Source organism: Homo sapiens, chromosome 18 (assembly GCF_000001405.40).
Source record: "Homo sapiens chromosome 18, GRCh38.p14 Primary Assembly".
Lineage (NCBI taxonomy): Eukaryota > Metazoa > Chordata > Mammalia > Primates > Hominidae > Homo > Homo sapiens.
In genome coordinates, this window is record NC_000018.10 from 12,407,328 (window position 1) to 12,432,664 (window position 25,337).

Below are 25,337 nucleotides of genomic sequence, written 5' to 3' on the forward strand. Positions count from 1 at the left end.
GGCGGGATCTCGGCTCACTGCAAGCTCCGCCTCCCGGGTTCACGCCATTCTCCTGCCTCAGCCTCCCGAGCAGCTGGTACTACAGGCGCCCGCCACCACGCCCGGCTAATTTTTTGTATTTTTAGTAGAGACGGGGTTTCACCGTGTTAGCCAGGATGGTCTTGATCTCCTGACCTCGTGATCCGCCCGCCTCGGCCTCCCAAAGTGCTGGGATTACAGGCGTGAGCCACCGCGCCCGGCCTCACATGCTGGTTTAATGTTTGTTCAAGACCCAAACTGCAGTGGAGTTTTGAGGGTTGGCAGGTTTGTTTTTCATCACACGTCCCCGACAGTACAAACCGGCGTAGCTGGACAGGGCCTTGGGAGAATTTGGACAGTGGGAGTAAGGACGAGCGTCGCCTCCTACGCCCGCGGCATCTGCAGCAAGCGCGCATCGCGCACCCCAGGGTAGCAGCGCAGGTCTGGGGCTGCGCCACAGCCGCGCCCGCAGAGCTATTTTTAGCCGCTGCAGCCAGCCTAGCCACCAGACGGGGTGGGCGGCATCCAAGGGCGCCCCGCCCATCGAGGCCCCGCCCACGCCGCGCCCGGAGCCGCGCGGCCCGAAGCACCCGGCCCGGATCGCAGAGCCCGCGCCCTGCGCCGGCGGCAATGAAGATCTGGAGCTCGGAGCACGTGTTTGGGTGAGGCCGGGCTGAGGGCCGCGGTGGGGCCGTCCAGACGCCGGCTCCTGCTCCCGAGCCCGGCTGGAGCGGTCCAGGAAAGGCCGGACCTCACAGCGGGCCTCGCGGAGATCCCCGCCCCGCGCCGGCCGTTCCCAGACCGCAACTTCGGCGTCCCGGAGAGGGCACGCGCGCTTCCCCGGGACCGCGGTCTGGGCGAGGCTCTGCGCCGGGTACGGCCTCTCCCCCGGCGTGCGCAGGGGCCTGGCTGCAGGCACAGAGGCCCCGCTGGTGGTCGACAGCCAGGGCGGGGGCAGCCGGAGCGGGGGCGGCCGGGGCGGGGGCGGCCGGAGCCGGGGGGGCGGCCGGGGGCCTGGCGCTCGCTGCTCTCCTTGGGGTCGGGAGCAGGGCAGGGGAGAGGCCTGCAAGCTGGCGCCTTTGCTGAGATTGTCATAAACCTTCCGCGCGTTTCACGGAGGGCCCACGGCGGGCTGTGAGCTCTGGAGGAAGCTAAAGGGGCAGAAGGCATTTCGGGGGCCCTGGCTCTGAACTCACTTGTAGGCATGGAAGGCCTCCAAGCTAGCGTGGAAAACCTCGAACTGTTTAAAAATGCTCCCCCGGCACACGGATGGAAGTGGAGGTCATTATCTTAAGTGAAGCCAGGCCCAGAAAGACAAGTATCGCATGTTCCCACTCCTAAGTGGGTGCTTAAGAATGTGTTCACATGGATGTGGAGAGTGGAACGTCAGATGATGGAGACTCTGAAGGGTGAGGGGGTGGGTGCAGGGAGGATAATGAGAATTGCTTAATGGGTGCAAGACACCTTCCCGGGTAATGCATACCCTAGAAGTCCTGACTTGACCACTACGAAATTTATGCATGTAACGAAATTGCACATATACTCCATAGAATTGTGCAAATAAAAAGAAGAAAAAAGTGCCCTCCTAACCTAAGTGGTATCTTTTCCTTAAGTCAGTGATCTGTGACACACTGAAATTATTCTTTAATGTTTATTTACAGCAACAAAGATTTTTTAATTATCTGACCTCACTTAAGCATTAAATATTTTATTTTGGGGGGAAAAAAAGTACTGCGTGGAAGGAAATTGTCATCCTTTGACTCTTTTTATTTATTTTTTTCGAGACAGAGTCTCATTCTGTCACCCAGGCTGGGTTTTTTTTTTTTTTTTTTTTTTTTTGAGACATAGGCTCGCTGGGTCACCCAGGTTGGAGTGCAATGGCGCGATCTTGGCTCACTGTAACCTCCCCCTCCTGGGTTCAAGTGATTCTCGTGCCTCAGCCTCCTGAGTAGCTGGGACTACAGGTGTGGGCCATCACGCCCGGCTAATTTTTGTATTTTTAGTAGAAACAGGGTTTCGCCATGTTGGCCAGGCTGGTCTCGAGCTCCTGACCTCAGGTGATCCACCCGCCTCGGCCTCCCAAAGTGCTGGGATTATAGGTGTGAGCCACCGTGACTGGCCTGACTTTAAACATGTAAAATTATAATAAAAATATATCAAGTGGTTTCAAAACCTCTGAAATTATTTTTCATGAAGTCTTTAGACTTGATGGGATCTAATTTTTTGTATGGCTTGCAGTGTTTCTCAAGTGGGTTTCCATCAGCAACAAGGATGGGGGCATCACTGAGCCGTCTGGATGCTGTGGACAGTTAAGTCATTGCATACCAGGAGTGCCAGGTGGTTGGGGCTCAGTTTTCTCATGGAATGGCCGAGGTCTGCCCTAGAGGTTTGTGAAATGTCTGTGGACAAGCACAAATGAATAGCTAGCTGTGAAAAATCACAGTTGATGCTTTTGAAAATTGTTGCAGCTGCTAACTCCCATTTATTTTTTTTAAGCTTTACCGAAGGATACTTTACATACCATAAAATTATACACATTTTAAGTGTATAATTCATTAAGTTTTGCTAAGTATGACCATCACACACACAGTCCAGTCTTAGAACACTTCTGTCCTCCTGCAGAGGTGCCCCATGCTCATTAGCTTCACATTTTACCCCATTTTCACCCCTGCCCCAGGCAACCAGGAATCTTTTCTGTTTCTATGAATTTGCCTTGTTGGGACATTGCATGTAAATGTCATCCTGCAATATGGGGTGTTTTGTGTCTGTCTGCTTTCACTTAGCATGATTTTCTTGAGGCTCACCATGTGGTAGAGTGTCAGTATTTCATTTCTCCCATCATTCATTTTGTATTCCTGGCACCCCGCCGGGGCCCGGCGCCTAGCAGGTGCTCGGAAGGGGTGAGGAATCTTACATGGAGATCAGATGTCCTTCCAGGACAGGGGCAGCTATCCACCAAAGGAATCCCGGTCATCCCTGGAGCTGCTGTGGACTAGGTGCTGATTCTCTGCCATAGACTTTTGAACTTGAAAGCAAAGGGCCGTAATGAAGCCTGACAAATGTGGAATGTGGCTGGCCGAGGATGCTGTCATTGGCCTGTGGCTGGACGGGTTATGAATGATGTGGTACCATGAGGTGGTACCATGAGGTGTCATAGCATCCAAATGACAGTACAAATTGGAAGTCTGGCTTCCTGGCTGGACTTACTGTGTAGTTTTCCCCTTGTTTCGTCCATTGAAACCCCTGATTTTTTTCCTTTGAGGATTATAGACCTTTCTTTTTCTTTCTATACTTAAAAAAAGTTTGTTGTACTGTTAGGTGAACATTTGATTGGAAATAATACATTTACTTTTTTTTTTCCTTTTTTTTGAGGCAGAATCTTGCTCTATCACCCAGGCTGGAGTGCAGTGGCACGATCTTGGCTCACCACAACCTCTGCCTCTCCGGTTCAAGCAATTCTTGTGCTTCAGCCTCCCGAGTAGCTGGGACCACAGGCGTGTGCCACCACGCCTGGTGAATTTTTTTGTATTTTTAGTAGAGACAGAGTTTCACCATGTTGGCCAGGCTGGTCTCAAACTCCTGACCTCAAGTGATCCACCCACCTCGGCCTCCTGAAGTGCTGGGATTACAGTACTTTTGAAATGAAGAAATAATTAGGCACAAACAGTTTGATCTTATCAAGTTTTCTTCCTGTGTCCACATTGAGAAGAAACTCCGCCCCTGAGATCATCATAGCAGACAGCAGTGTAAACACTCAGACAAAAACAGAGAGCCCGGGGAAAGGCCACTGAATTAACGTGTGTGTTACCTAGACAGGGGTGAAAGTAGTTTAAATAAAATTAAAAGTATATGGCCAAAATATAGAAAGGGGCATTTAAAAATGCGGGCGTTTCACAAGGTCAGGAGATTGAGACCATCCTGGCTAACACAATGAAACCCTGTCTCTACTAAAAAATAAAAAAAAAAAAAAATTAGCTGGGCGTGGTGGCGGGTGCCTGTAGTCCCAGCTACTCGGGAGGCTGAGGCAGGAGAATGGCATGAACCCGGGAGGCAGAACTTGCAGTGAGCCGAGATCGCGCCACTGCACTCCAGCCTGGGCGACAGAGCGAGACTCCGTCTCAAAAAAAAAAAAAAAAAAAAGGACAGGGTTTAAAATGTCTTCTTCCCAGCATTGAGGTTTCAGGCAGACCTATGACAAAATCATCAATAACAAAGCCCATCACAAATAGATTTCCTGCAGGGTTCAAGGCTGCACACACCTTTGATTCTGACAGCTGCCAGGAATGTCTGGCCATGCCCTTCTCAGGGCAGGACGGGCTTTGGGGCATGGGGAGTCATGCCTAAAGCAGGCTTGCCTTACAGCTAGGAGCAGGGAAGAGAAATTGAACATTACAGATGAGTTGAAGCCTGCTCTTCCCCTCCCCACTGGTGTTCCACTGTGTCTCCCTCCCTGCAGGCAGCCGTGAGGATCAGTTTGGTGGGCATCCTTCTGAGGGGGTCTATATTCCAGAGGTTCACTTTACCGCATCTGTGTATACGCATGTGTCATATTGTCTTCTTTTCTTTCTTTTTTTTTTTTTTTTGAGACGGAGTCTCGCTCTGTCGCCCAGGCTGGAGTGCAGGGGCGCAGTCTCGGCTCACTGCAAGCTCCGCCTCCCGGGTTCACGCCATTCTCCTGCCTCAGCCTCCAGAGTAGCTGGAACCACAGGCGCCCGCCACCACGCCTGACTACTTTTTTGTATTTTTAGTTTAGCCAGGATGGTCTCCATCTCCTGACCTCGTGATCCGCCCGCCTTGGCCTCCCAAAGTGCTGGGATTACAGGCATGAGCCACGGCGCCCGGCCTTTTTTTTTTTTTTTCCAGGTGGAGTCTCACTCTGTTACCCAGGCTGGAGGGCAGTGGCGGGATCTCAGTTCACTGCAACCTCTGCCTCCCAGGTTCAAGCAGTTCTCCTGCCTCAGCCTCCTGAGTAGCTGGGATTACAAGCACCTGCTACCACGCCCAGCTAATTTTTGTATTTTTAGTAGAGACGGGGTTTCGCCATGTTGGCCAGGCTGGTCTCCAACTGCTGACCTCAAGTTATCAGCCCACCTGGGCCTCCCAAAGTGCTGGGTTTACAGGCGTGAGCCACTGCGCCTAGCCCTATTGTTTTTCGAAAATCCATCCATATGAGATGTCTATAGATGTCTACATAAATATATGTAGATATAGATAGATATTAATAGCTGTATGAATGTGCCACCATTTATTCTTTTTCTTATTGAAGGGCATTAAGTTTTCCTCTTATTACAAATCGAACTGCAGTGACCAGCCCTGTGTCTATTTCCCACTCAATCAAGGGCCCACTTAGGCCAATGGATTTCAAGCTCTTCAGCCTCAGGACCTCTTGATTTAGCAAAACCCTAAACAGTTTTGCTTATGTGGGTTATGTCTGTCAATATTTACCATATTAGAAATTAAAAATGATAAATTGAAAAAGTTAATTCATTAAATTTAACAATAATAAACCTGTTATAATGTTTCTGAATAAAAAACTGTATTTTCCAAAAATTAGTGAAAGGAGTGGTGCTGTTTCTGTTTTTACTAATATCTACAATATCTGGCTTAATAGGAGATAACTTGATTCTCATATCTGCTTCTGCAGTCTGTGTTTGGCAATATATAGTTTTGGTTGAAGTGTATGGATAAACCCCAGCCTCACACAAACATGCAGCTGGAAAAGGTGGGAGCATCTTAGTAGTCTTTTTAAGTAATTATGGCTATTCTTTCCTGTTATGACAAAAGAAACGGTAGCTTCTTAACACTTAGTTGGAATACAAAACCTGAAACTATAATGAATAGAGTATTGAACTCTGAGGCCTAGCGGGGGTAATCGGTTGAGCTCAGGAGTTTGAGACCAGCCTGGGCAACATAGTAGAATATGTCTCTACAAAAAATAAATACAAAAATTAGCCAGGTGTGGTGGCTTGTGCCTGTAGTCCTAGCTGTTCAGGAGGCTGAGGCAGGAGGATTGCTTGACCCCAGGAGCTTGAGGCTACAGTGACAGAGCCATACCATCTCTTAAAACAGCCACCACAACAACAAACCCATTGGCCTGTCCTGTGTATGAATGAGTCTTTAACCCAAGTATGACTTGGAAGCATTTGGAATATAGGCCTCCACTGAGCGTGCAGCATGAGGCAGTCATCCAGCTCCTGGTAGCAGATACAAGTTTTCTGAAATTTCAATTATCACTTTATTTATTTATTTTTTTTCCAAGACAGAGTCTCACTCTGTCGCCCAGGCTGGAGTGCAGTGGCATGATCTCAGTTAACTGCAACCTCTGCCTCCCAGATTCAAGCAATTCTCCTGCCTCAGCCTCCCAAATAGCTGGGATTGCAGGTGAGTCTCACCACGGCCTACTAATTTTTGTATTTTTAGTAGAGACGGGGTTTCGCCATGTTGGCCAGGCTGGTCTTGAACTCCTAACCTCAGGTGATCCGCCTGCCTTGGCCTCCCAAAGTGCTGGGATTACAGGCGTGAGCCACCGTGCCTGGCCAAATTATCACTTTAAAGCTCAAATTTTATCTTTGGCAGCAAATGCTATCAGTTGTTTTCCTTGAAGCACAGGCTTACTTTGTTAATTTTCAAGAAATCATCTGCCAGATCCCCAAGTCTGAATAAGCAAAGTTTATCTGTTTATTGTTCTTTCTGTTTATTGCTCTTTCAAGTACAAGAGGCAGGCAGTGGAAAGCAGCAGAGAGACAGGGGCTCCCACTCAGAGTGAACAAGTGCCGGCGCCCCCCAGACACCCCAGAGTCGAGGGACTTGGGCCGCAGCAGCAGAGGGGCTTCTGGTGCACTTCTGTTCCCTCACACAGAATATCAAAGAGAAGAGTACTCAGGGGTCAAGCAGTCATAAAACTAATCACTTGGCCATTTACTCACAGATGTCCCTAAGAGAAACTGGCATTGTTTCCCAAGTGCACAGCAGTGAGGACTGCGGTGACCACATGCAATTTGGAGCCCTGCCTTGATGCTGGGAAGATACTGGCTCTGTCCTTTTATTGCTTTTGCAGAATTAGCGCAAATGTCAATACAGCAAAAAAGGCCAGTCATTGGCCGGGCGCCATGGCTCATGCCTGTAATCCCAGCACTTTGGGAGGCCGAGGTGGGTGGATCACCTGAGGTCAGGAGTTTGAGACCAGCCTAGTCAACATGGTGAACCCCCATCTCTACTAAAAATACAAAAATTAGCTGGGTGTGGTGGCTCATGCCTGTAGTCCTAGCTACTCGGGAAGCTGAGGCACGAGAATTGCTTGAACCCGGGAGGTGGAGGTTGCAGTGAGTTGAGATCACACCCACTGCATCCCAGTCTCACTCTGCAACAGAGTGAGACTTGGTCCTCCCCCCACCCCTCCACCCCCACCAAAAGAAAAGGTCAGTCATGTCTCAGTAGCACTGTGACAACAGTTATGTCTGGAAAAGTTCTTGGAGCCACCAGGGTGTGTGGCCCAAATGCTAAGGAGCAGCTGATGGAGGCCTTGGGTCACTTGGTGGTGGGGTATAGCAGGCCTACTATCTTGTTTTTGGCTGCCTACATCTTTTTTTCTTTCTTTTTTTTAGAGACGGTCTTGCTCTGTTGCCCAGGCTGGAGTGCAGTAGTGCAATCACGACTTACTGCAGCCTCAAACTGTTTGGCTTAAGTGATCCTCCCATCTCAGGCTCTGCAGTAGCTGGGACTATGGTTGCGAGCTACCACACCTGGCTAATTTTCGTATTTTTTGTTGACATAGGGATCTTGCTCTATTGCGCAGGCTGGTCTTGAACTCCTGGTCTCAAGTGAACTTCCTGCCTTGGCCTCCCAAAATGCTGGGGTTACAAGCATAAGCCAACACACCTGGTCTGCCTACATCTTTTTTTTTTTTTAATTTTTATTTTTTTGTTTTGTTTTGAGACAGGGTCTCACTCTGTCACCCAGGCAGAAGTGCAGTGGTGCGTTCTTGGCTCACAGCAACCTCTGCCTCCCAGGTTCAAGCAATTCTCCTGCCTCAGGCTCCTAAGTAGCTGGGACTACAGGTGTGCGCCACCATGCCCAGCTAATTTTTGTATTTTTAGTAGAGACTGGGTTTCACCATGTTGGGCAGGCTGTTCTAGAACTCCTGTCAAGTGATCCGCCCGCCTCGGCCTCCCAAAGTGCTGGGATTACAGGCATGAGCCACTGTGCCTGGCCTTAAATCTTTTTAAGACAGATTTTTGCTATGGAAATTTCACAACTATGCAAACATGGAGAGACTAGAATACTGAGAGCCGGTGCCACCCCCAGCTTAACAGTTACCCTCTGGCAGCCAGTCCAGGGTCCTCTGTGTCCCCACCCACTGCTCCTTCCCCTGGGTTATTTTAGGCAAATCCCAGACATCATGTAATTTCCTCCTTCTTCATCTTCCCGACACTGTTGGTGCTTAGAGAGTCCTTTGTTATTCCTTTTCATTCCCCAGCTCAGAAACCAGCTTCCCTTAGCCCGCCAGGCAGACCCACCACACACATGGTGTCAGAGCACTTGGGACACGTGTATGTGGGGAGCCATCCATGCTGGGTGGCAGCGGAGGCCTCTTGCCCTTGGGGGATAGGATTCCCCAGAGGTCTCCACGAACAGCAGCAGAGGAGGCTCCTGCCGCCTGGTTGGGGATCTCTGAGTAGGCAGTTCTCTGCTCCTCTTGAAAATAAACTTCAGCACATTCCTCTTCTGCCTCAACCAGGCAGCTGAGAACCCTGACTGATTTCGGCAGGGGCGGGGTGTCCATTTTCAGCTTCTCTGGGTAAACTGCTGCCATTAGTGCCTGTGCCAGTTTGTGTCCACCAGCAGCACTTCCTGTTGTCCTATTTCCTATACCCTTTCCAGTACTCAATATTGCCAGACTTGTCTATTTTTGCCCATTGAAAGCGTGTCAGGCTATTTTTGTTCTTTCTGGGTTTTTGTTGTTGTTGTTGTTGTTTGTTTTTTTAGACAGGCATTTGCTCTGTCACCCAGGCTGGAGTGCAGTGGTACAATCATGGCTTGCTGCAGCCTCGACCTCCGGTCTTAGGTGATCCTCCTGCCTCAACCTCAGCCTCCCAAATAGCTAGTACCACAGGGGTGTGCCACCATGCCTGGTTAATGTTTTCTGTTTTTGTAGAGATGAGGGGTCTTGCTATATTGCCCAGGCTGGGCTTGAGCTCCTAGCATCAAGCAGTCTTCCTGCCTCAGCCTCCCCAAGTGCTGGGATTTACAGGCATGAGCCACTGTGCCCAGACAAGGCTATTTTCTTTTCTTTTCTTTCTTTCTTTTTTTTTTTTTTTTTAGACAGAGTCTCACTCTGTTGCCCAGGGTGGAGTGCAGTGGCATGATCTGGGCTCACTGCAAGCTCCGCCTCCCGGGTTCACGCCATTCTCCTGCCTCAGCCTCCCGAGTAGCTGGGACTACAGACGCCTGCCACCGTGCCCGGCTAATTTTTTGTATTTTTAGTAGAGTCGGGGTTTCACCGTGTTAGCCAGGATGGTCTCGATCTCCTGACCTCGCGATCCACCAGCCTCGGCCTCCCAAAGTACTGGGATTACAGGCACAAACTACAGTACCCAGCCAGACAAGACTATTTTCTTTAACCAAGTGTGTGCTATTGACTTGCTGTGCTTAGACTTTATCATTTTAGAGATGTTGAGATATTTTTATTATGTTTATCATTTTCCTCCATTGTTCTGTTGCTATATGTGTGGTCATCCTGCTGTAATTAGTAAAATTATTTATTATGTGCATATTTTAAGCAGATTGTATTTAGTTTAAATCATCAGCCAGAAAGATGCAAATTTTTTTATTTTTATTTTTATTTTTGAGATGGAGCCTTGCTTCGTTGCTCAGACTGGAGTGCAGTGGCGCGATCTCGGCTCACTGCAACTTCCACCTCCTGGGTTCGAGCAATTCTTCTGCCTCAGTCTCCCGAGTAGCTGGGATTACAGGTGCCTGCCACCATGCCTGGCTAATTTTTGTATTTTTCTTAGAGATGGAGTTTCACTATGTTGGCCAGGCTGGTGTTGAACTCCTGACCTCAAGTGATCTGCCCGCCTCAGCCTCCCACAGTGCTGGGATTACAGGCATGAGCCACTGCATCCAGCCCTAAGATGCAAGAATTTTATATGAAAGAAACATTATTTGAGATAAGCTTAATGCAAAAATCTCTCAATGTTTAGATTATTTTAAGCTTAATGTTAGAAGGCATACCCTGTTCTGCTTAAAGTAATGATTTCTATGGGAATAAGTCTAAGGAACTTAACTGAAAAGCCATCAGACTATTCATTGAGGAGGCTCTCCTGGGTGACTGGGACCCTTTCTGCTTCACATGTATCTCTAGATTCACCTTCCTTACCTAGATCTGGGGTCTGCCATGTCCCTGACAGTTCTTTCCTAAACCTCAGAGAGACGAAAGGGCTCCACTCTGACTGAATTCCTAGAGTGATCAGGACCACCCAGTCTTGGCTTCTTCATCCCTCTCTTCTCTTTATGTTAGCCAGTGGAATGCGTCAGCTTAGTGACACAATTGCATGGTTCAAAAAACTGAACATAAGTGTTCTATTGTTAAGAGAGGATTCCAGGCCAGGCCCTGACAATTTAGAGGCCACCGAATGTAATAGAACAGGTTAGGGAGCTGCGAGACCTGGTTCTCATCTGGGCCCTGCTGCTAACTTTCACCTAGGACAAGAGTGTTTGATGAGGGTAAAGTAAATTACTGATCACTCTGTTATATTGAAAATTGACCTCAAATATGGAAGAAAAAACTTCAGTATCCTCATAATCTTTCATATTTTATTTGGAAATTTCATTTCTACAACTTTATCCTAAGGAAGAATTAGATATGTTGAAAGACTAATGTACACAAATGTTCACTACTGTTATAATTTATCGTGTAAAAGTGAAAGCAATCTACATAACATAACCCACCATAGAGGACTGGTGAAATATACACAGCCACAAGATGACCTAGTGTACAGCTGTTTATAATCATATTCCTGAAAATGGCTTCATGATATAGGAAAATGTTTATCAGCAGTTATAAAAAATGGATGGTAAACCCATATATTGAGTGTAATCCCAGTTTAATTTTTCAAGATGTGTGTGCATGTGCATGTATGTGTGTCTGCATGCATATGTGCACACATGTGAATGTGATGGTGCATAGGTGTGTGCACACATCTGGGCTTGCCTCTGGGCTGTGTCTATACATATGCTGGACAAACCTCTCTGGGCACTTCTGAAGAAATGATGATCTTGTCAGAGAATGTTTGTCCTTGCAGGAGGCTCAGAGGCTTCCTGGGAGAGAGCACACCTTGAAGGAAGGGTGGATTAGGACAATTAGGGCAATAAAGTGACTTGCTAGCAACCCCTTAGCAGTCCGGGGGAAGGTCCATGCTGGACAGGTGTGGTGGCCCCTCACTTGGCTCCCTTCAGACGTGTGTCTGACCCTGCAGGTTTCAGGCCTAAACAAGTGCAGAGCTCTGGAAAGCAATGGGTGACTTGCAACCACTCTGATGGCAGGAAATAAAACAAGGGGAGGCTGAGTGCGGTGGCTCATGCCCATAATTCCAGCACTTTGGGAGGCCAAGGCAGGAGGATTGCTTGAGGCCATGAGTTCGACATCAACCTGGCAACATAATGAGACCTAAAAAAATTGTTAAAATAAAAAGTTGGGCTGGGCACGGTGGCTCACGCCTGTAATCCTAGCACTTTGGGACGCTGAGGCAGGCGGATCACGAGGTCAGCAGTTTGAGACAAGCCTGGCCAACATGGTGAAATCCCGTCTCTACTAAAGATACAAAAAAAAATTAGCTGGGTGTGGTGGCGGGCACCTGTAGTCCCAGCTACTAGGGAGGCTGAGGCAGGAAAATCGCTTGTACCCGGGTGGTGGAGGTTGCAGTGAGCCGAGACAGAGCCATTGCACTCCAGCCTGGGTGACAGAGCGAGACTCCATATCAAAAAAAAAAAAAAAAAAGTTGGCCAGGCGTGGTGGCTTATGCCTGTAATCCCAGCACTTTGGGAGGCTGAGGCAGGCGGATCACTTGAGGTCAGGAGTTCCAGACCAGCCTGGCCAACATGGGGAAATCCCATCTCTACTAAAAATACAAAAATTAGCCAGGTGTGGTGGTGGGTGCCTGTAATCCCAGCTACTAGAGAGGCTGAGGCAGAAGAATCACTTGAACCCGGGAGGCGGAGGTTGCAGTGAGCTGAGATCGTGCCACGGCACTCCAGCCTGGGTGATAGAGTGAGACCCCATCTCAAAAAAAAATTAATTAATTTAAAAAGTTAGGCCGGGCGTGGTGGCTCACGCCTGTAATCTCAGCACTTTGGGAGGCCGAGGCGGGCAGATCACGAGGTCAGGAGATCGAGAGCACGGTGAAACCCCCTCTCTACTAAAAAATAGAAAACAATTAGCCAGGCATGGTGGGGGGCGCCTGTAGCCCCAGCTGCTCCGGAGGCTGGGGCAGGAGAATGGCGGGAACCCGGGAGGCGGAGCTTGCAGTGAGCTGAGATCGCGCCACTGCACTCCGGCCTGGGTGACAGAGCAAGACTCCGTCTCAAACAAAAAAGTCATTCAGGTTTGGTGGCACACGCCTGTAGTCCCAGCTACTGGAGGTGGGGCAAGAGGAGGCTGAGGCAGGATGTTCACTTGAGCCTGGGAGGTTTGAGTCTGCAGTGACCCTGATGGCACCACTGCATTCCTGCCTGCTGGGCGACAGAGTGAGACCCTGTCTCAGACAAACAAAAACCAAGGGGCTGCCAGGTGCCGAGGCGTGCAGGTGCTGAGCCGGCGGCCGGGGAGGGCTCGCGGGACTCCTCAGATTTGTCGGACCAGCCTTTCATTAAAGTGAAGAGACTAGCGCGTTGCCCAGGCCTGGCGGCGGCTTTTCCTCCCCTTCACCCTTGCGGCCCCGGCCCCGGCGCTTGCTCACCGCCGCCTATGCTCTCCCCGCAGCCACCCGTGGGACACGGTCATCCAGGCGGCCATGCGCAAGTACCCGAACCCGATGAACCCGAGCGTGCTGGGCGTGGATGTGCTACAGCGCCGCGTGGACGGCCGCGGCCGCCTGCACAGCTTGCGCCTGCTCAGCACCGAGTGGGGGCTGCCCAGCCTCGTGAGAGCGGTGAGCGGGGCGGGGGCTGCGGCTCCGAACGCGCCCGACTCCCCCACTCCCGCCCCCGCCCTCTCCCGCGTCCCTCCTCCCCTCATCAGTGCCTCTGCTGCTTTGGCTGCCATCGGGGTGGGAGGGCGGCGGGGGGCCTTTCCTGAGATCAGGGGGCGCGGGGTGGGGGTGGCGGTGGGGGGAACTTCCCCGAGATCAGGGGGCACGGGCTGGGGGGCTGGTGGGAGGGTTTTCCTCGAGATCGGGGGGCGTGGGGTGGGGGGTCGGTGGGGGGGGATCTTCCTCGAGATCGGGGGTCACGGGGTGGGGGGACGGTGGGGGGGTCTTCCTCGAGATCGGGGGTCGCGGGAGGCTCTGCCTGGCGCGTGGCGTCTGGCATCCCCATCTGTCCTCCCAAAGGGCCCGGGCCTGCTGGATTAGCACTGCCAGGCGCCCCTCCTCCTGGTTTAACCGCCTCTAAAGCCCAGCGTCCGCAGCCAGCCGCATCCTAGGGCACCGGGATTAGGCTTCACCATGGTTCAGCCCCCCGTGGCCTCTTCCTCAGAGCCAGGGAGGTCGCTGGAAATGCAAATCTGAGCACGGCTCACCCCAACCCGGCCCCTGGATCTCGCCTCCACCTGCAGTCCACACCCTGGCCTGGCGCAGGCCTCTCAGTCAGCCCAGCTCCTGCTGCAGGGGCCTGCACCTGCTGCCCCCAGCCTGACACCCCCACCCCAGCACTATGGTGGTACCTTCCTCTTTGGGGCTCTGCCCAGACTCCGCCCGGCAGAGGGGCCTCCTAGCTCCACTGCCCGCAGCCTGTTTTATTTTGCCGGGAGCATAGTGCTGCTGCACGCTCCACTCTGTTGGAATTCATTTCTTTGCTCAGTGGCTCACCTGCTGGAGCGGAAGCGCCCTGGACACAGGGGTTTTGTCTCTGTCCCTTGCTGCATCCCATGATATCATTTCTTGAATAGTGAACTAATTAGTAAATGCAATGGTATTCGGTGGTGATATGAAGTAGAATTTTTAACGTTCCACTATGCTAGTTTTGCTTTGTTTTCTAGATTTTGGGAACCAGTAGGACATTGACATACATCCGAGAACATTCTGTGGTGGATCCAGTGGAAAAGAAAATGGAACTTTGTTCTACCAATGTAAGCAATGGCCTCAGATGAGAAACGGGCTCAGTGTGTCTGGGTGGTGGTGCGTAAGGCCTTCGTTTAATTCTATTTCCAGCCCACCTTTGGTCTAGGTGTTGCTTATTTTTAACAGAAAGGCTGAATTCATTTAGCAGTTTATCTTTTTATTCAAGTATAATAAGTATATAGAAAAATGCACATAATGATGAATTGTCACAAAGAACGCACCTCTTAACTAGCAGGCAGTTCAAGCAACAGAATTTGACCAGCCCCTGAGACCCCTTGGGCACCCCCCACAGGATAACCACTGTCCTGACAACCAGCAGACGTTTTTGTTTTTTTAAAGATGGGGTCTTGCCCTGTCACCCGGGCTGGAGTGCAGTGGTGTGGTCATAGCTCAGTGCAGCCTCGCACTCCTGGGCTCAAGTGATCCTCCTGCCTCAGCTTCCCAAATAGCTGGGACCACAGGCACGTGCCACCATCCCTGGCTGTTTTTTTATTTTTATTTTTCACAGAGATAGGATCTCGCTGTTGCCAAGGCTGATCTCAAACTCCTGGTCTCAAGTGATGCCTTTCAACGTGCTTTTTTTTTTTTTTTTTTAATTTTTGAGACAGTCTCTCTCTCTCACCTAGGCTGGAGTGCAGTGGATCTCAGCACCCTGCAACCTCCACTTCATGGGTTCAAGCGATTCTCCTGTCTCACCCTCCCAAGTAGCTGGGACTACAGGTGTGTACCACCAACAGGCATTTTTTTTTTTTTTTGAGATGGAGTCTCACCCTGTCGCCCAGGCTGGAGTGCAGTGGCGTGATCTCGGCTCACTGCAACCTCCGCCCCCTGGTTTCAAGCCATTCTCCTGCCTCAGCCTCCTGAGTAGCTAGGATTACAGCCGCGTGCCACTACACCTGGCTAATTTTTGTATTTTTAGTAAACAGGAGGTTTCACCATGTTGGTCAGGCTGGTCTCAAACTCCTGACCTCGTGATCCACCCGCCTCAGCCTCCCAAAGTACTGGGATTATGGGTGTGAGCCACCGCACCTGGCCCCAACAGGTATTTTTAAAGCTACTTCCCCCCTTCACTCCTCTCTCACTTCTCTCAATTAAAAAATGTATATTGGCCTAATGCAAATGCAAGAACATGTTGGGAAATATGCATGGGCTAGCAAAATTATTTATTTCAAAAAATAATCCTTATTTTCAGCAAATATAGAAATGGGCTATGGTGGGTGAAGTCAGCGGTGCCCTCATCTGGCCTCACTTTTCTGTCCCCAGTGCCATGGTTGGCTCTAGCCACCACTATTTACTGGTTCTGCCAACGGTATCAAGTGCCTGCCAGGTACCCAGCACAGTGCTAGGGATGGGGAATGCAAGGATTAAGATATTTCCTCCTGACTGGCTCTGTCATCGCACGGTGGGCATCTAGACAACCCACATAGGTGGCAGCGAGCAGGAGCTCCCCTAAGTGGCCATGTGAAGGTAGGTGACAGGGAGCCTGGCAGGACTTCTCCATACACACTGGCAGTGGGCGCCCTTGAGCCTTAGAGAGCCACAAACAGATGGCGTTAGAGACTAAGAGGGGAAGGTGGTGTGGGAGGGAGGAGGCTGGAGAGGGGCAGGCACAAGACCACAGAAGAGGCAGAGGAGCCGGAGGTCGTTTTCGTGGTAAGAGGGAGCCACTGAGAGTTTGTTGCAGGAAGGTGAGGTAGCCGGGTTGTGTGTTGGGAAGAATACCTTGGCAGCCCTGTGGAGAGAGGGCCGGGGGGATGTTGGGACCTGAGCCAGGGAGACCAGTAGTCCGGGCAGGTAATTGTCCAGGTGAGAGGTAGCAGAGGCCACCTGGGGTGAGACATGGGGAGTAAGGAACAGGAGGCTCACGACGCAGCTCTGCTCTCTGGTTAGGGCGCCAGGCTGAATGGTGGCCCATGAGGGGCAGGTGTGAGAAGAGAGAGGTAAGCTTGCTTTGCACATCTTGAGTATGCAGCCCCTGCACAGCAGGCTGTGGAGTGTCCAGCCTGAAGCTGAAGGTGCGGCCAGCAGTGCTGCAGTGAGGGAATGGCGACCTGGTCCCAGGGGCAGGCAGGGCTGGTGGGTGCAGTGGGTGGGGACAGGGCTGAGGAGCAGGTCATCCAGGCGGCCATGCGCAAGTACCCGAACCGGTACCTGGGCAGCTCCCCATCTTCTCAGCATCTTGTGGGAGGCCCAGTGTTTGAAAGAAAGTGGAGCTGCTCTGGGTCCTGCGGCTCCCCTGCCCCAACCAGAGGGCCTCGGGAGCTCCTATGAGCTTCTCAGGTGGCCATGGGAACAGTCCCCCAGGATGCTCAGTGCTGTCGGCCAGCCACACTCTGCCCAGCTGGGAGCACCTTCCGTAGAAGGCAGTGGGTGCATCCCTGTGTGCTGAGATGAGGCTGTGAGCCACCTGCAGGATAGAGCCTAGCTCCTTAGTGTACTACCTGGACTTCTGCCAATGTTCCCTGGTCCTATTGGCTCCTTGTCCCAGGCTGCACAAAGTCACAGGAGCCTGTCAGGTCCCCACTGGCTATTCCTGACAGCTTACGTATTATGTTCTTTCTGCCCCCAAAACCAATATTTACTTATGAAATTCCACCTTATCCTTCCAGAAAACTCAGTTGTATGTAAAAAGGAGCAGTTTATGCTCCAGTGAAGTCTGATGGGAAGGAAACAGGGTTTGGAGCAAGACAGACATGTGCTTGCATCCTGAAGCCATCGCTGGATGGCCCGATGACTTGGGGATGCTATTTACATTTTCTGAGTCTCACATTTCTTGTATAAAAAAGAAAAGAACAAACCTCAGAGGAGTAAGGTTTATGAAACACAGTGACTTGCATAAAATATTGCACATAAAATGACAACAGCTAATCAGAGTTTAATTTGTAATTGATGCTGTTAGATAGTTCTGTTGAATGTAACGCCCATACACGTGAGACTCTTGATAACCTGGCACTCTGTAGGAGGAGAGAGATTTCCTACTAACCATTTGCATTGGGACAGTGAGGCTGGGGGAGGGATTCAGTGAGAGATTACTGAAAAAATGAGTATTTATCACTACAGAAAGGTTAATTTGCTTTTCACTGTTTAAACTTTTTAAAACATGGTCTTTTATCAGAATTGGCATTTTGAGAAGAGGGTGAACTGAGTTAAACAATGAAGCAATTCTAGAGCTCTGTTGTCCAGTGTGGCAGCCACCAGCAACATGTGGCTATTTAATTTTAAGCTATTTATGGCCAGTGCGGTGGCCCACGCCTGTAATCCCAGCACTTTGGGAGGCTGAGGCAGGCAGGTCACCTGACTTCTCTGAGGTCAGGATTTCCAGACCAGCTTGGCCAACATGGCAAAACCCCATCTCTACTAAAAATACAAAAATTAGCCGGGCATGGTGGCGGGTGCCTGTAGTCCCAGCTACTCTGGAGGCTGAGGCAGGAGAATCGCTTGAATCTGGGAGGTGGAGGTTGCAGTGAGCTGAGATCGCGCCATTGCACTCAAGAGTGAAACTCCATCTGAAAAAAAAAAATTAAACTAATTAGGATAAAATAAAATTAAAAATTCCATTCCTCAGTCACATGAGCCACATTTCAGGTGTGCATTAGCTGCATGTGTGTGTGGCTACCATATCAGACAGCATGCATAGGACATTACTGTTAGCACAGAAAATTCTGTTAGTGTGGCTCTAGAGCTCGAGTGTTTAAATTGGTTTTGACAGAAAATATAGGCTGGGCGCAGTGGCTCATGCCTGTAATCCCAGCACTTTGGGAGGCCGAGGCGGGTGGATCATGAGGTCAGGAGATCAAGACCATCCTGGCTAACATGGTGAAACCCCGTCTCTACTAAAAATACAAAAAAAAAAAAAAAAAATTAGCCAGGCATGGTGGCGGGCGCCTGTAGTCCCAGCTACTGGGGAGGCTGAGGCAGGAGAATGGTGTGAACCCAGAAGGCGGAGCTTGCAGTGAGCCGAGATCATGCCACTGCACTCCAGCCTGGGCGACAGAGCGAGACTCCATCTCAAAAAAAAAAAAAAGTAGAAAATATAGGCCGGGCCCAGTGGCTGACACCTGTAATCCCAGCACTTTGGGAGGCCAAGGTGGGAGGATCGCTTGAGCTCAGGAGTTTGAGACCAGCCCGGGCAGCATTGCAAAATCCCATCTCTACAAAAAATTTAAAAATTAGCCGGATGTGGTGGTGTGCACCTGTAGTCCCAGCTACTCAGGAGGCTGAAGTGAGAGGATCACTTGAGACCTGGAAGTTGAGGATGCAGTGAGCCTTGATCACACCACTGCACTCCAGCCTGGGCAACAGAACAAGACTCTGTCTCAAAAAATAAAAAAGAGGCCAGGTGTGGTGGCTCATGCCTGTAATCCCAACACTTTGGGAGGGTAAGGCAGACAGATCACGAGGTCAGGAGATTGAGACCATCCTGGCCAACATGCTGAAACCCTGTCTCTACTAAAATACAAAAAAAAACTTAGCCAGGCATGGTGGCACATGCCTGTAATCCCAGCTACTCCGGAGGCTGAGGCAGGGGAATCACTTCAACCTGGGAGGCAGAGGTTGCAGTGAGCCAAGATCATGCCCCTGCAGTCCAGCCTGGTAACAGAGCGAGACTCTGTCTCAAAAAAATAAGAGAGAAAAAGAAAAAGAAAATATAGGCCGGGTGGAGTGGCTCACGCCTGTAATCCCAGCACTTTGGGAGGCCAAGGCGGGCGGATCACGAGGTCAGGAGATCGAGACCATCCTGGCTAACACGGTGAAACTCCGTCTCTACTAAAAATACAAAAAATTAGCTGGGCATGGTGGCAGGTGCCTGTAGTCCCAGCTACTCGGGAGGCTGAGGCAGGAGAATGGTGTGAACCCAGGAGGCAGAGCTTTCAGTGAGCCGAGATCGCGCCACTGCACTCCAGCCTGGGCTACACAGTGAGACTCCATCTCAAAAAAAAAAAAAGTATAAATATGTACATAAGGAGTTAGTCTGTTTATAGGAAGCGGTACTGGAGGAGACAAGAACCCTGCAGTCTCCATGTAGATTCAGAGTCTGTCCCATCCAGTCCTAGGAGACAGTGCTCTGTGGGCTGCCATGGGTAGGTGAAAAGCTTTCTCTCACTTATATGGACACACAGGCCTATTTGTCCTTTTCTATGGTACAACTGCTGATAGTTTTGGCAGCTTGACTGTACCTTGAAGGCCAGAGCCCTGCTCACATGTGGAGTGGGACATGGGAAGAAGATAGATGACAGTTGCCAGAAGGAACAGCAAAACCATGGTTTCCTAGGATTTAATGTGGTCGTATCTCCTATGCCTAAAAGTTTCTTCTGTTCTGGCCCCACTAAGTGCTAATTTTGGGATGGAAGAGTATGGGCAGTTGGCTTCAGAAGAAATGCAAGAGAAATACAATCTAAACCTTTTTTTTCTTTTTAAGATCACACTCACAAATTTGGTGTCAGTTAATGAGAGGTTGGTGTACACACCTCATCCAGAGAACCCAGAAATGTGAGTCATCTCCTGTGGGATTGACACATTGAATGCCACGGGTGAGGGCAGGGCAGACCCTCCTCTCTCTCAGGGCTGGTCAGCCCCTTTTCTTCTTGCTCTTTTGCAGGACCGTGCTCACACAAGAAGCCATCATCACTGTGAAGGGGATTAGCCTTGGTAGTTATTTGGAAAGTTTAATGGCCAATACGATATCATCCAATGCAAAGAAGGTATGTATCTCAATCCTAGGAGTCCTGTGTGTGCTCTAGTTGTTAAGTGCCAGATTAAGAATATGACATTTTTAGTCTCATCAGTCTTCCTGGCTGGGCATGGTGGCTCATGTCTGTAATCCTAGCACTTTGGGAGGCCAACGCAGGTGGACCGCTTGAGGCCAGGAATTCAAGACCAGCCTGGCCAACATGCTGAAACCCCATCTACTAAAAATACAAAAATTAGCTGGGCATAGTGGCACACCTCTGTAGTCCCAGCTACTCGAGAGTCTGAGACATGAGAATTGCTTGGACCCATGAGGCGGAGGTTGCAGTGAGCTGAACCACCACTGCACTCCAGCCTGGGTAACAGAATGAGACTCTGTCTTAAAAAAAAAAATAAAAATAAAAATAAAAAATAAATAAATAAAATCCTGAGTGCTGGGGCTCTCCATTTATGCTGAGCTCATAATGCCACAGTATTTCAAAACTAGGGTAGGGAAAGGCTGACCCAGGTCTGAGGGAAGTGTGTGCATGAAAGCCAAGGGAGCCAAAGTTACTCTTCTCAGTAGAGAAAGTATGGGGTAAACCTGGAGCATAAACCCAGCCAAGGCAACTACCACTTCAAAGAGCCCAAATGTCATAAGCTCAGTTACCAAAGCAAACTAACCCACAACATCAGAAATACAAGGTGTTAACAGTGTCAGGTAGGCTATTCAGGACTTATAGTAGTTTCCTATTTAATGGGCATTAAGTGGCTTTGGCTGAACCTCTCCAGCAGTGACGCTTCCATGGAGCCTGCTGCCGTCTTCACAGCTCCTCTCTGGCAGGATTTGGCAGTAAGCTTTGTGGAGGTGAGAGGAGAAAGGATAGATCCCAGGAGGCCATCCATGGTACTCCCTTTGTGTCCAGGGCACTGGAACAGAGGAAGAGATTGTTCTAGGAGTCCAGGTTGCCCTCCCCTCCAGCAGAGTTGATGGAAAGAGCTTGAATGTTTGGTAGGAAGATGTTCCTCACATTTAAAAGATGCCACTTGCCAGAGCAGGGCCTTTGCTTTTCACCTGGGCCCGCCTCACAGGCTCATGTCTTCTCTTTGTCTGTCCCTCCTACCCCTCACTCTTCCCTTTCCTCCCTCTTTCTCTTCCCTCCTTTTTGGGGGTCAGAAATGAGTCTTCATTTTTGAGATCAGTGGGTGATTCCTAAGGCTGTACTTCCCTTTCCAATGTCCTTCCATGCTTAACTCTCCAACTAGTGGAAAACCATTTATGGCTTGCATTTAGTCTCATCACCAATAGAATAGCCTGTCTATCTAATTCTGTAGAATCCAGATTTGAGAAACAGAGATTTGAGCAGCTTAGCTCAGTTCAGAGGAGGTAGGGCAGCGAAGGCCAAAGGGGGAGAGCTTTGTCCATGCTGGAGGAAGGAGACCGGATCTCACCCATCGTTGTTTCCAATGCTTGGCTTAGGGCAGAAGCCCTAAATGTTTGCCAAACAAAATATTATAAGAGGAAGGGAATATTCAGTGAGGCCACAGCTACCTTAGACCTTTTATGTGAAAAATTTGGGGTAAACTCAGTGAGGGCAAATTGGCTTTCCTTTATTTCACTTTATTAGAGGTTGTGTTGAAGGCTTAGGAGAGAATCACTAAGGTGGGGAGAGGTGTTGTGCCTGGAAACAGCGGAGCGGCCTGAGGGCAGGTGCAGGGGATGGGGTTGGGGGTGCGTGGAGGTGTCACCCTGGGCTTTCCTGGCCTCCTGGGGCAGCCTCAGCGCTGGGATTTGGGAGGTGAGGGACAGGACTTGCTGTATTGAGCTAAGCCGGGCGCTGGTTTGCTAACACAGCAGTGACTCTTAGGCACTGTTTTCCTTCCCCCTTCTGAGCTGGAGGAACTGCCTGCCTGTGTGAAGATCACTCGGAAAGGTCACTGCTGTGTCTCCTTGTAACTGCAGCGCTTGCCTTCTGCAGTTTAGCCTGTGGACTTGTCGCTTGCTGTCTGCAGCGGGAGGCGGGACGACCCACTCAGTGCTGAAATCTTTCTGTGTTGCAGGGGTGGGCTGCTATCGAGTGGATAATTGAACACTCTGAAAGCGCTGTGAGCTAAGGAGGCCTGTGCCTGTGCTTGTCATAAATGGTGGTGAGTACAGTATTCACTCACCTGGGGGGGTACTTGCAGCCTCTTGTGACCCGTGTGCATGGTGCACATGGTGAGGGGACGCCAGAAGTACGCAGCTGCTGGTGGCTCTCCAGCCCGGAGCTCCTTAGTTTTCCACGGTGACACAGAATCACTGGGTTCATCCTCTTTCTATTTCATTCCTTGCTTCGTGGCAGGATTTAGATTCCGAGGAAGCTTGAGCTGCGGCCCTCTGGGTCGCATGGTGGCAGCTCGGCCTCTCCAGCAAGCCACCCTCGGGCTGGGTTGCTGAGGTGACCCCGGTGACTGTGCAGAGTTGGCGCGAGTGGCCAGGCCTGTCCTGACAGGGCGCTGTCCTTTGGGTGCATCTGCATCTGCTGCTGTGAGCGAGGTCCTGTGCCCACCTCTTCACTTGCCCCAAGCCAGTACATGGCCACACGGCTGCAGCCGGCCATTTCCTTTTAGCAGTGGAAGCCTTTCTGGCGTTTCCTTGAGCTTCACGAACATTCCCTGGCTTCTTGTGGCATCAGCAGCTGGACTTCTAGTGGCCCTGCCCCGACGGCCAGCGGCCACCAGGGCCTGATCCCCGGGGAGGACGCGCCTCCCACCAGAGGCTGTGCTGCGCTGCTCTGGGCTGCTCGTCCCCATCTGTCCCCCGTGTGTGTGGGTTCGGGGATCCTTAAGAACTTCGTGCTGATTTTGCCTGAGTCACTGAAGCCACACTTTGCTCTCCTTGAACCCAAGCCAGGGGTGGCCATGGGCCTCGCCTCCTTCATGGCCGCACCCTGAGTTCAGTGCCTGTAAGGAGCTTCCTTGCCTGGCATCCTGTATCTGTGTGGTGTGTGGTGTGTGCTGTGTGGTGAGTATCTATGTGTGTGTGGTGAGTGCGGTGTGTGGAGTGTGTGCTGTGCGTGGTATGTATATATGTGTGTGTGGTGTGTGTGTGTGTGCAGCGTGTATGGTGTGCATGTGCTGTCTGTGATGTGTTGCATGTTTGTGTGCTGTGTGTGCTGTATGTTGTGTGTGTGCTGTGTGTATATATGTGGTGTGTGTGTGTGGTGTGTATGCTGGTGTGTGATGTGCGTGTGTGGGGTGTGTGTGATGTGTATATGTGTGTGGTATGTGGAGTGTGTGTGTGACATGTGTGCTGTGTGATGTGTATATGTGTGGTGTGTGTGTGCTCTGTGTATGTGATGTGTATATGTGTGTGGTATGTGTCGTGTGTGCATGTTTGTATGATGTGTATGTGATTGGTGTGTGCTGTGTGTGAATGTGTGTATAGTGTGTGCTCTGTGTAATGTGTATGTGTGTGGTGTGTGTGCATGTGTGTGATGTGTGTGCATGCGTGTATGATGTGCATGTGTGTGATGTGTGTGTGCTATGGGATGTGTATGTGTGTGGTATGGGTGCATGTGTGTGAGGTGTGTGATGTGTATGTGTGCTCTGTGATGTGTATGTATGTGGTGTGTGTGCATGTGTCTATGATGTGCATGTGTGTGATGTGTATTGTGTGCTGTGTGTGATTTGTGCATGTCTGTATGATGTGCATGTGTGTAATGTGTATGTGTGATGTGTATGTGTGTGGTGTGTGCATGTAAGATATGCATGTGTGTGATGTGTATGTGCGGTGTGTGTCATGAGTGTGGTTTATGTCTTGAGTGTGGTGTGTGGTGCGCCCTCTGCTCCTCTGCAACCCGACCCCTGGTGTCTCTGCAGATGCTTCCCAGAAGAAAGGAAAGAAGGAGGTGAGGAGAGGACGAGCAAGGACGGGACGGAAAAGCACGTCTGGCTGCGAGGGCACACAGGGCCGGGGAGGAGGATTAGGCTGGACTGATCGCGGGTCGCAGGTGACCCCGGGACCAGATGTCCCTCCCCTCATGAGCGTGCAACAGGGAGCAGCCCCAGCCAGCCCCACCGCCGCCGTCTGCGTGGATGGAGGGCTCGAGGCCCTCGCCCGTGTCCCTTAGGGGCGGCGCCCATCGTCCTGCCTGCCGCAGTGGCCCAGCCCCTTCTCTCCCTGCAGGTGACCCGCGCCGCCCCCGCCCGCCCGCCCACGCTGTCCTCCACTTAGGCTCCTCCACAAACGCTGGCGGGTGTGCCGCCCTCCAGCCTCTCCGCCCCCGTCCCCTCGGTCCTGCAGATCACCAAGCAGCTCTCCTGGGCCCGCGGCTGCTCCGGGCCTCACATCTGCTGCTGGCCTCGGTGGGCTCTGACTGCGGGGCTCACGGGGCCTGGGGCCATGGCTTTCTTCTCGGCCCCCAAATGCCTTTCCTGGAGTGGCTAAGCCTCTCCTGACGAGGCTCCTCATGCGGGGAGAGGGCTGGGGTCCAGGGGTTTCCCGGCCCTTTCTGCAGGCTGTGCCAGCCCCCTCCAGTCTGCCACTGCCGTGCCCGGGGGACATCCTGCGCCCAGGCTGGAGGCCCTGCCTCGCTGCTTGCCAGCCTCACCTGCTGGGGCTGGAGGCCATGGATCCCTCATAGTATCCAAGGTTTGAGTTCCTGTTTTTCGCCTTATAGTTTTGTGAGTGTTTGAGGGACAACGACCAAAGGTCTTTTCCCCACCATCTTTAAATCAAAGTTGTTTAAAACAACATTAATTTTAAAAAATACATAAAAGCAACCCATGCTTATGGTTAAAAAAGAGTACAGGAGTCTGGAGTCCGTTGAAGGGTAAAGGCCTCCCGCAAGCTGCCAGTCGGCTCTTTTTCGCAAAGCCTTCCAGAAGTTTTCTGTGCTTATGAAAGCGTATGTGTGGCCTTTCTCTTCCCTTCTTTTATTAAACACAGATAGGTTTATGCTGGATAAACCGTTTCGTGTCTGTCTTTTTTCAGCGTTTAAGCAGCGTCATCTTGAGTGGAGCTGTGCGGCGCCTGCCTCCCCAGTCCTGAAGGCAGCGGGGCCTCTGGCCGGGGTGCTGGTGCGCTGTCCCTGCGCCGCCCTTCCCGGCACGCAGCGCCCTTGAGTGGCCCATCTTGCTCCCGTAGCAGCTCTGTAATGTCCCAATGGGAATGGTCCAGAACTTGTCACCTGGTGGTTCTGCTCTAGACGGAAACAAGCAAACGCGGGATCTGGAAACCATCTCTGAAGCAGGGATGGAGAGACAAGGTCGCACACTGGCTGGGGCACGCAGAGGTCCCTGCGTATTTTGGGGGCACGATCACATTTTTTAGGCGAGGACAGTCGTAAATGTCAGACTCCAGCCACTTCAAACCTTTGGTGACCAAAGTGGGGT

General features: G+C 51.0%; 1 protein-coding gene across 8 annotated transcripts, besides 8 other annotated features; it reads left to right on the forward strand.

Annotated features, from left to right (window-relative positions):
• Positions 1-662: an enhancer, noted in NCBI's record as "H3K27ac-H3K4me1 hESC enhancer chr18:12407327-12407988 (GRCh37/hg19 assembly coordinates)". NCBI's record gives its function as "activates a minimal SCP1, AML or CMV promoter by ChIP-STARR-seq in naive H9 embryonic stem cells {active_cell/tissue: H9 hESC(naive)}" and the evidence as "EXISTENCE:reporter gene assay evidence [ECO:0000049][PMID:30033119]".
• Positions 1-1,429: a biological region, named in NCBI's record as "hESC enhancers GRCh37_chr18:12407327-12407988 and GRCh37_chr18:12407989-12408648".
• Positions 400-979: a silencer, noted in NCBI's record as "silent region_9312". NCBI's record gives its function as "represses an Ori minimal core promoter by ATAC-STARR-seq in GM12878 lymphoblastoid cells {active_cell/tissue: GM12878}" and the evidence as "EXISTENCE:reporter gene assay evidence [ECO:0000049][PMID:35858748]".
• Positions 602-24,911, forward strand: PRELID3A (PRELI domain containing 3A). Of its 8 annotated transcripts, none has more exons than XM_024451076.2 (7): positions 602-892; positions 12,998-13,166; positions 14,213-14,302; positions 19,714-19,784; positions 19,894-19,996; positions 22,023-22,109; positions 23,823-24,911. In XM_024451076.2, the coding sequence occupies exons 2-6, from the start codon at positions 13,029-13,031 to the stop codon at positions 22,074-22,076; spliced, it is 456 nt and encodes a 151-aa protein (XP_024306844.1). In that variant the 5' UTR covers positions 602-892; positions 12,998-13,028; the 3' UTR covers positions 22,077-22,109; positions 23,823-24,911. The 8 variants fall into 8 exon arrangements, with proteins under 8 accessions (XP_024306844.1, NP_001135877.1, NP_006544.2 ...); NM_001142405.2 differs by having other exon boundaries at positions 602-680; positions 23,823-24,907; NM_006553.4 differs by having other exon boundaries at positions 602-680; positions 22,023-22,106; positions 23,823-24,907.
• Positions 663-1,322: an enhancer, noted in NCBI's record as "H3K27ac hESC enhancer chr18:12407989-12408648 (GRCh37/hg19 assembly coordinates)". NCBI's record gives its function as "activates a minimal SCP1, AML or CMV promoter by ChIP-STARR-seq in primed H9 embryonic stem cells {active_cell/tissue: H9 hESC(primed)}" and the evidence as "EXISTENCE:reporter gene assay evidence [ECO:0000049][PMID:30033119]".
• Positions 1,180-1,429: an enhancer, noted in NCBI's record as "active region_13102". NCBI's record gives its function as "activates an Ori minimal core promoter by ATAC-STARR-seq in GM12878 lymphoblastoid cells {active_cell/tissue: GM12878}" and the evidence as "EXISTENCE:reporter gene assay evidence [ECO:0000049][PMID:35858748]".
• Positions 8,347-9,297: an enhancer, noted in NCBI's record as "NANOG-H3K27ac-H3K4me1 hESC enhancer chr18:12415673-12416623 (GRCh37/hg19 assembly coordinates)". NCBI's record gives its function as "activates a minimal SCP1, AML or CMV promoter by ChIP-STARR-seq in naive H9 embryonic stem cells {active_cell/tissue: H9 hESC(naive)}" and the evidence as "EXISTENCE:reporter gene assay evidence [ECO:0000049][PMID:30033119]".
• Positions 13,157-13,306: a silencer, noted in NCBI's record as "silent region_9313". NCBI's record gives its function as "represses an Ori minimal core promoter by ATAC-STARR-seq in GM12878 lymphoblastoid cells {active_cell/tissue: GM12878}" and the evidence as "EXISTENCE:reporter gene assay evidence [ECO:0000049][PMID:35858748]".
• Positions 24,433-24,951: an enhancer, noted in NCBI's record as "H3K4me1 hESC enhancer chr18:12431759-12432277 (GRCh37/hg19 assembly coordinates)". NCBI's record gives its function as "activates a minimal SCP1, AML or CMV promoter by ChIP-STARR-seq in primed H9 embryonic stem cells {active_cell/tissue: H9 hESC(primed)}" and the evidence as "EXISTENCE:reporter gene assay evidence [ECO:0000049][PMID:30033119]".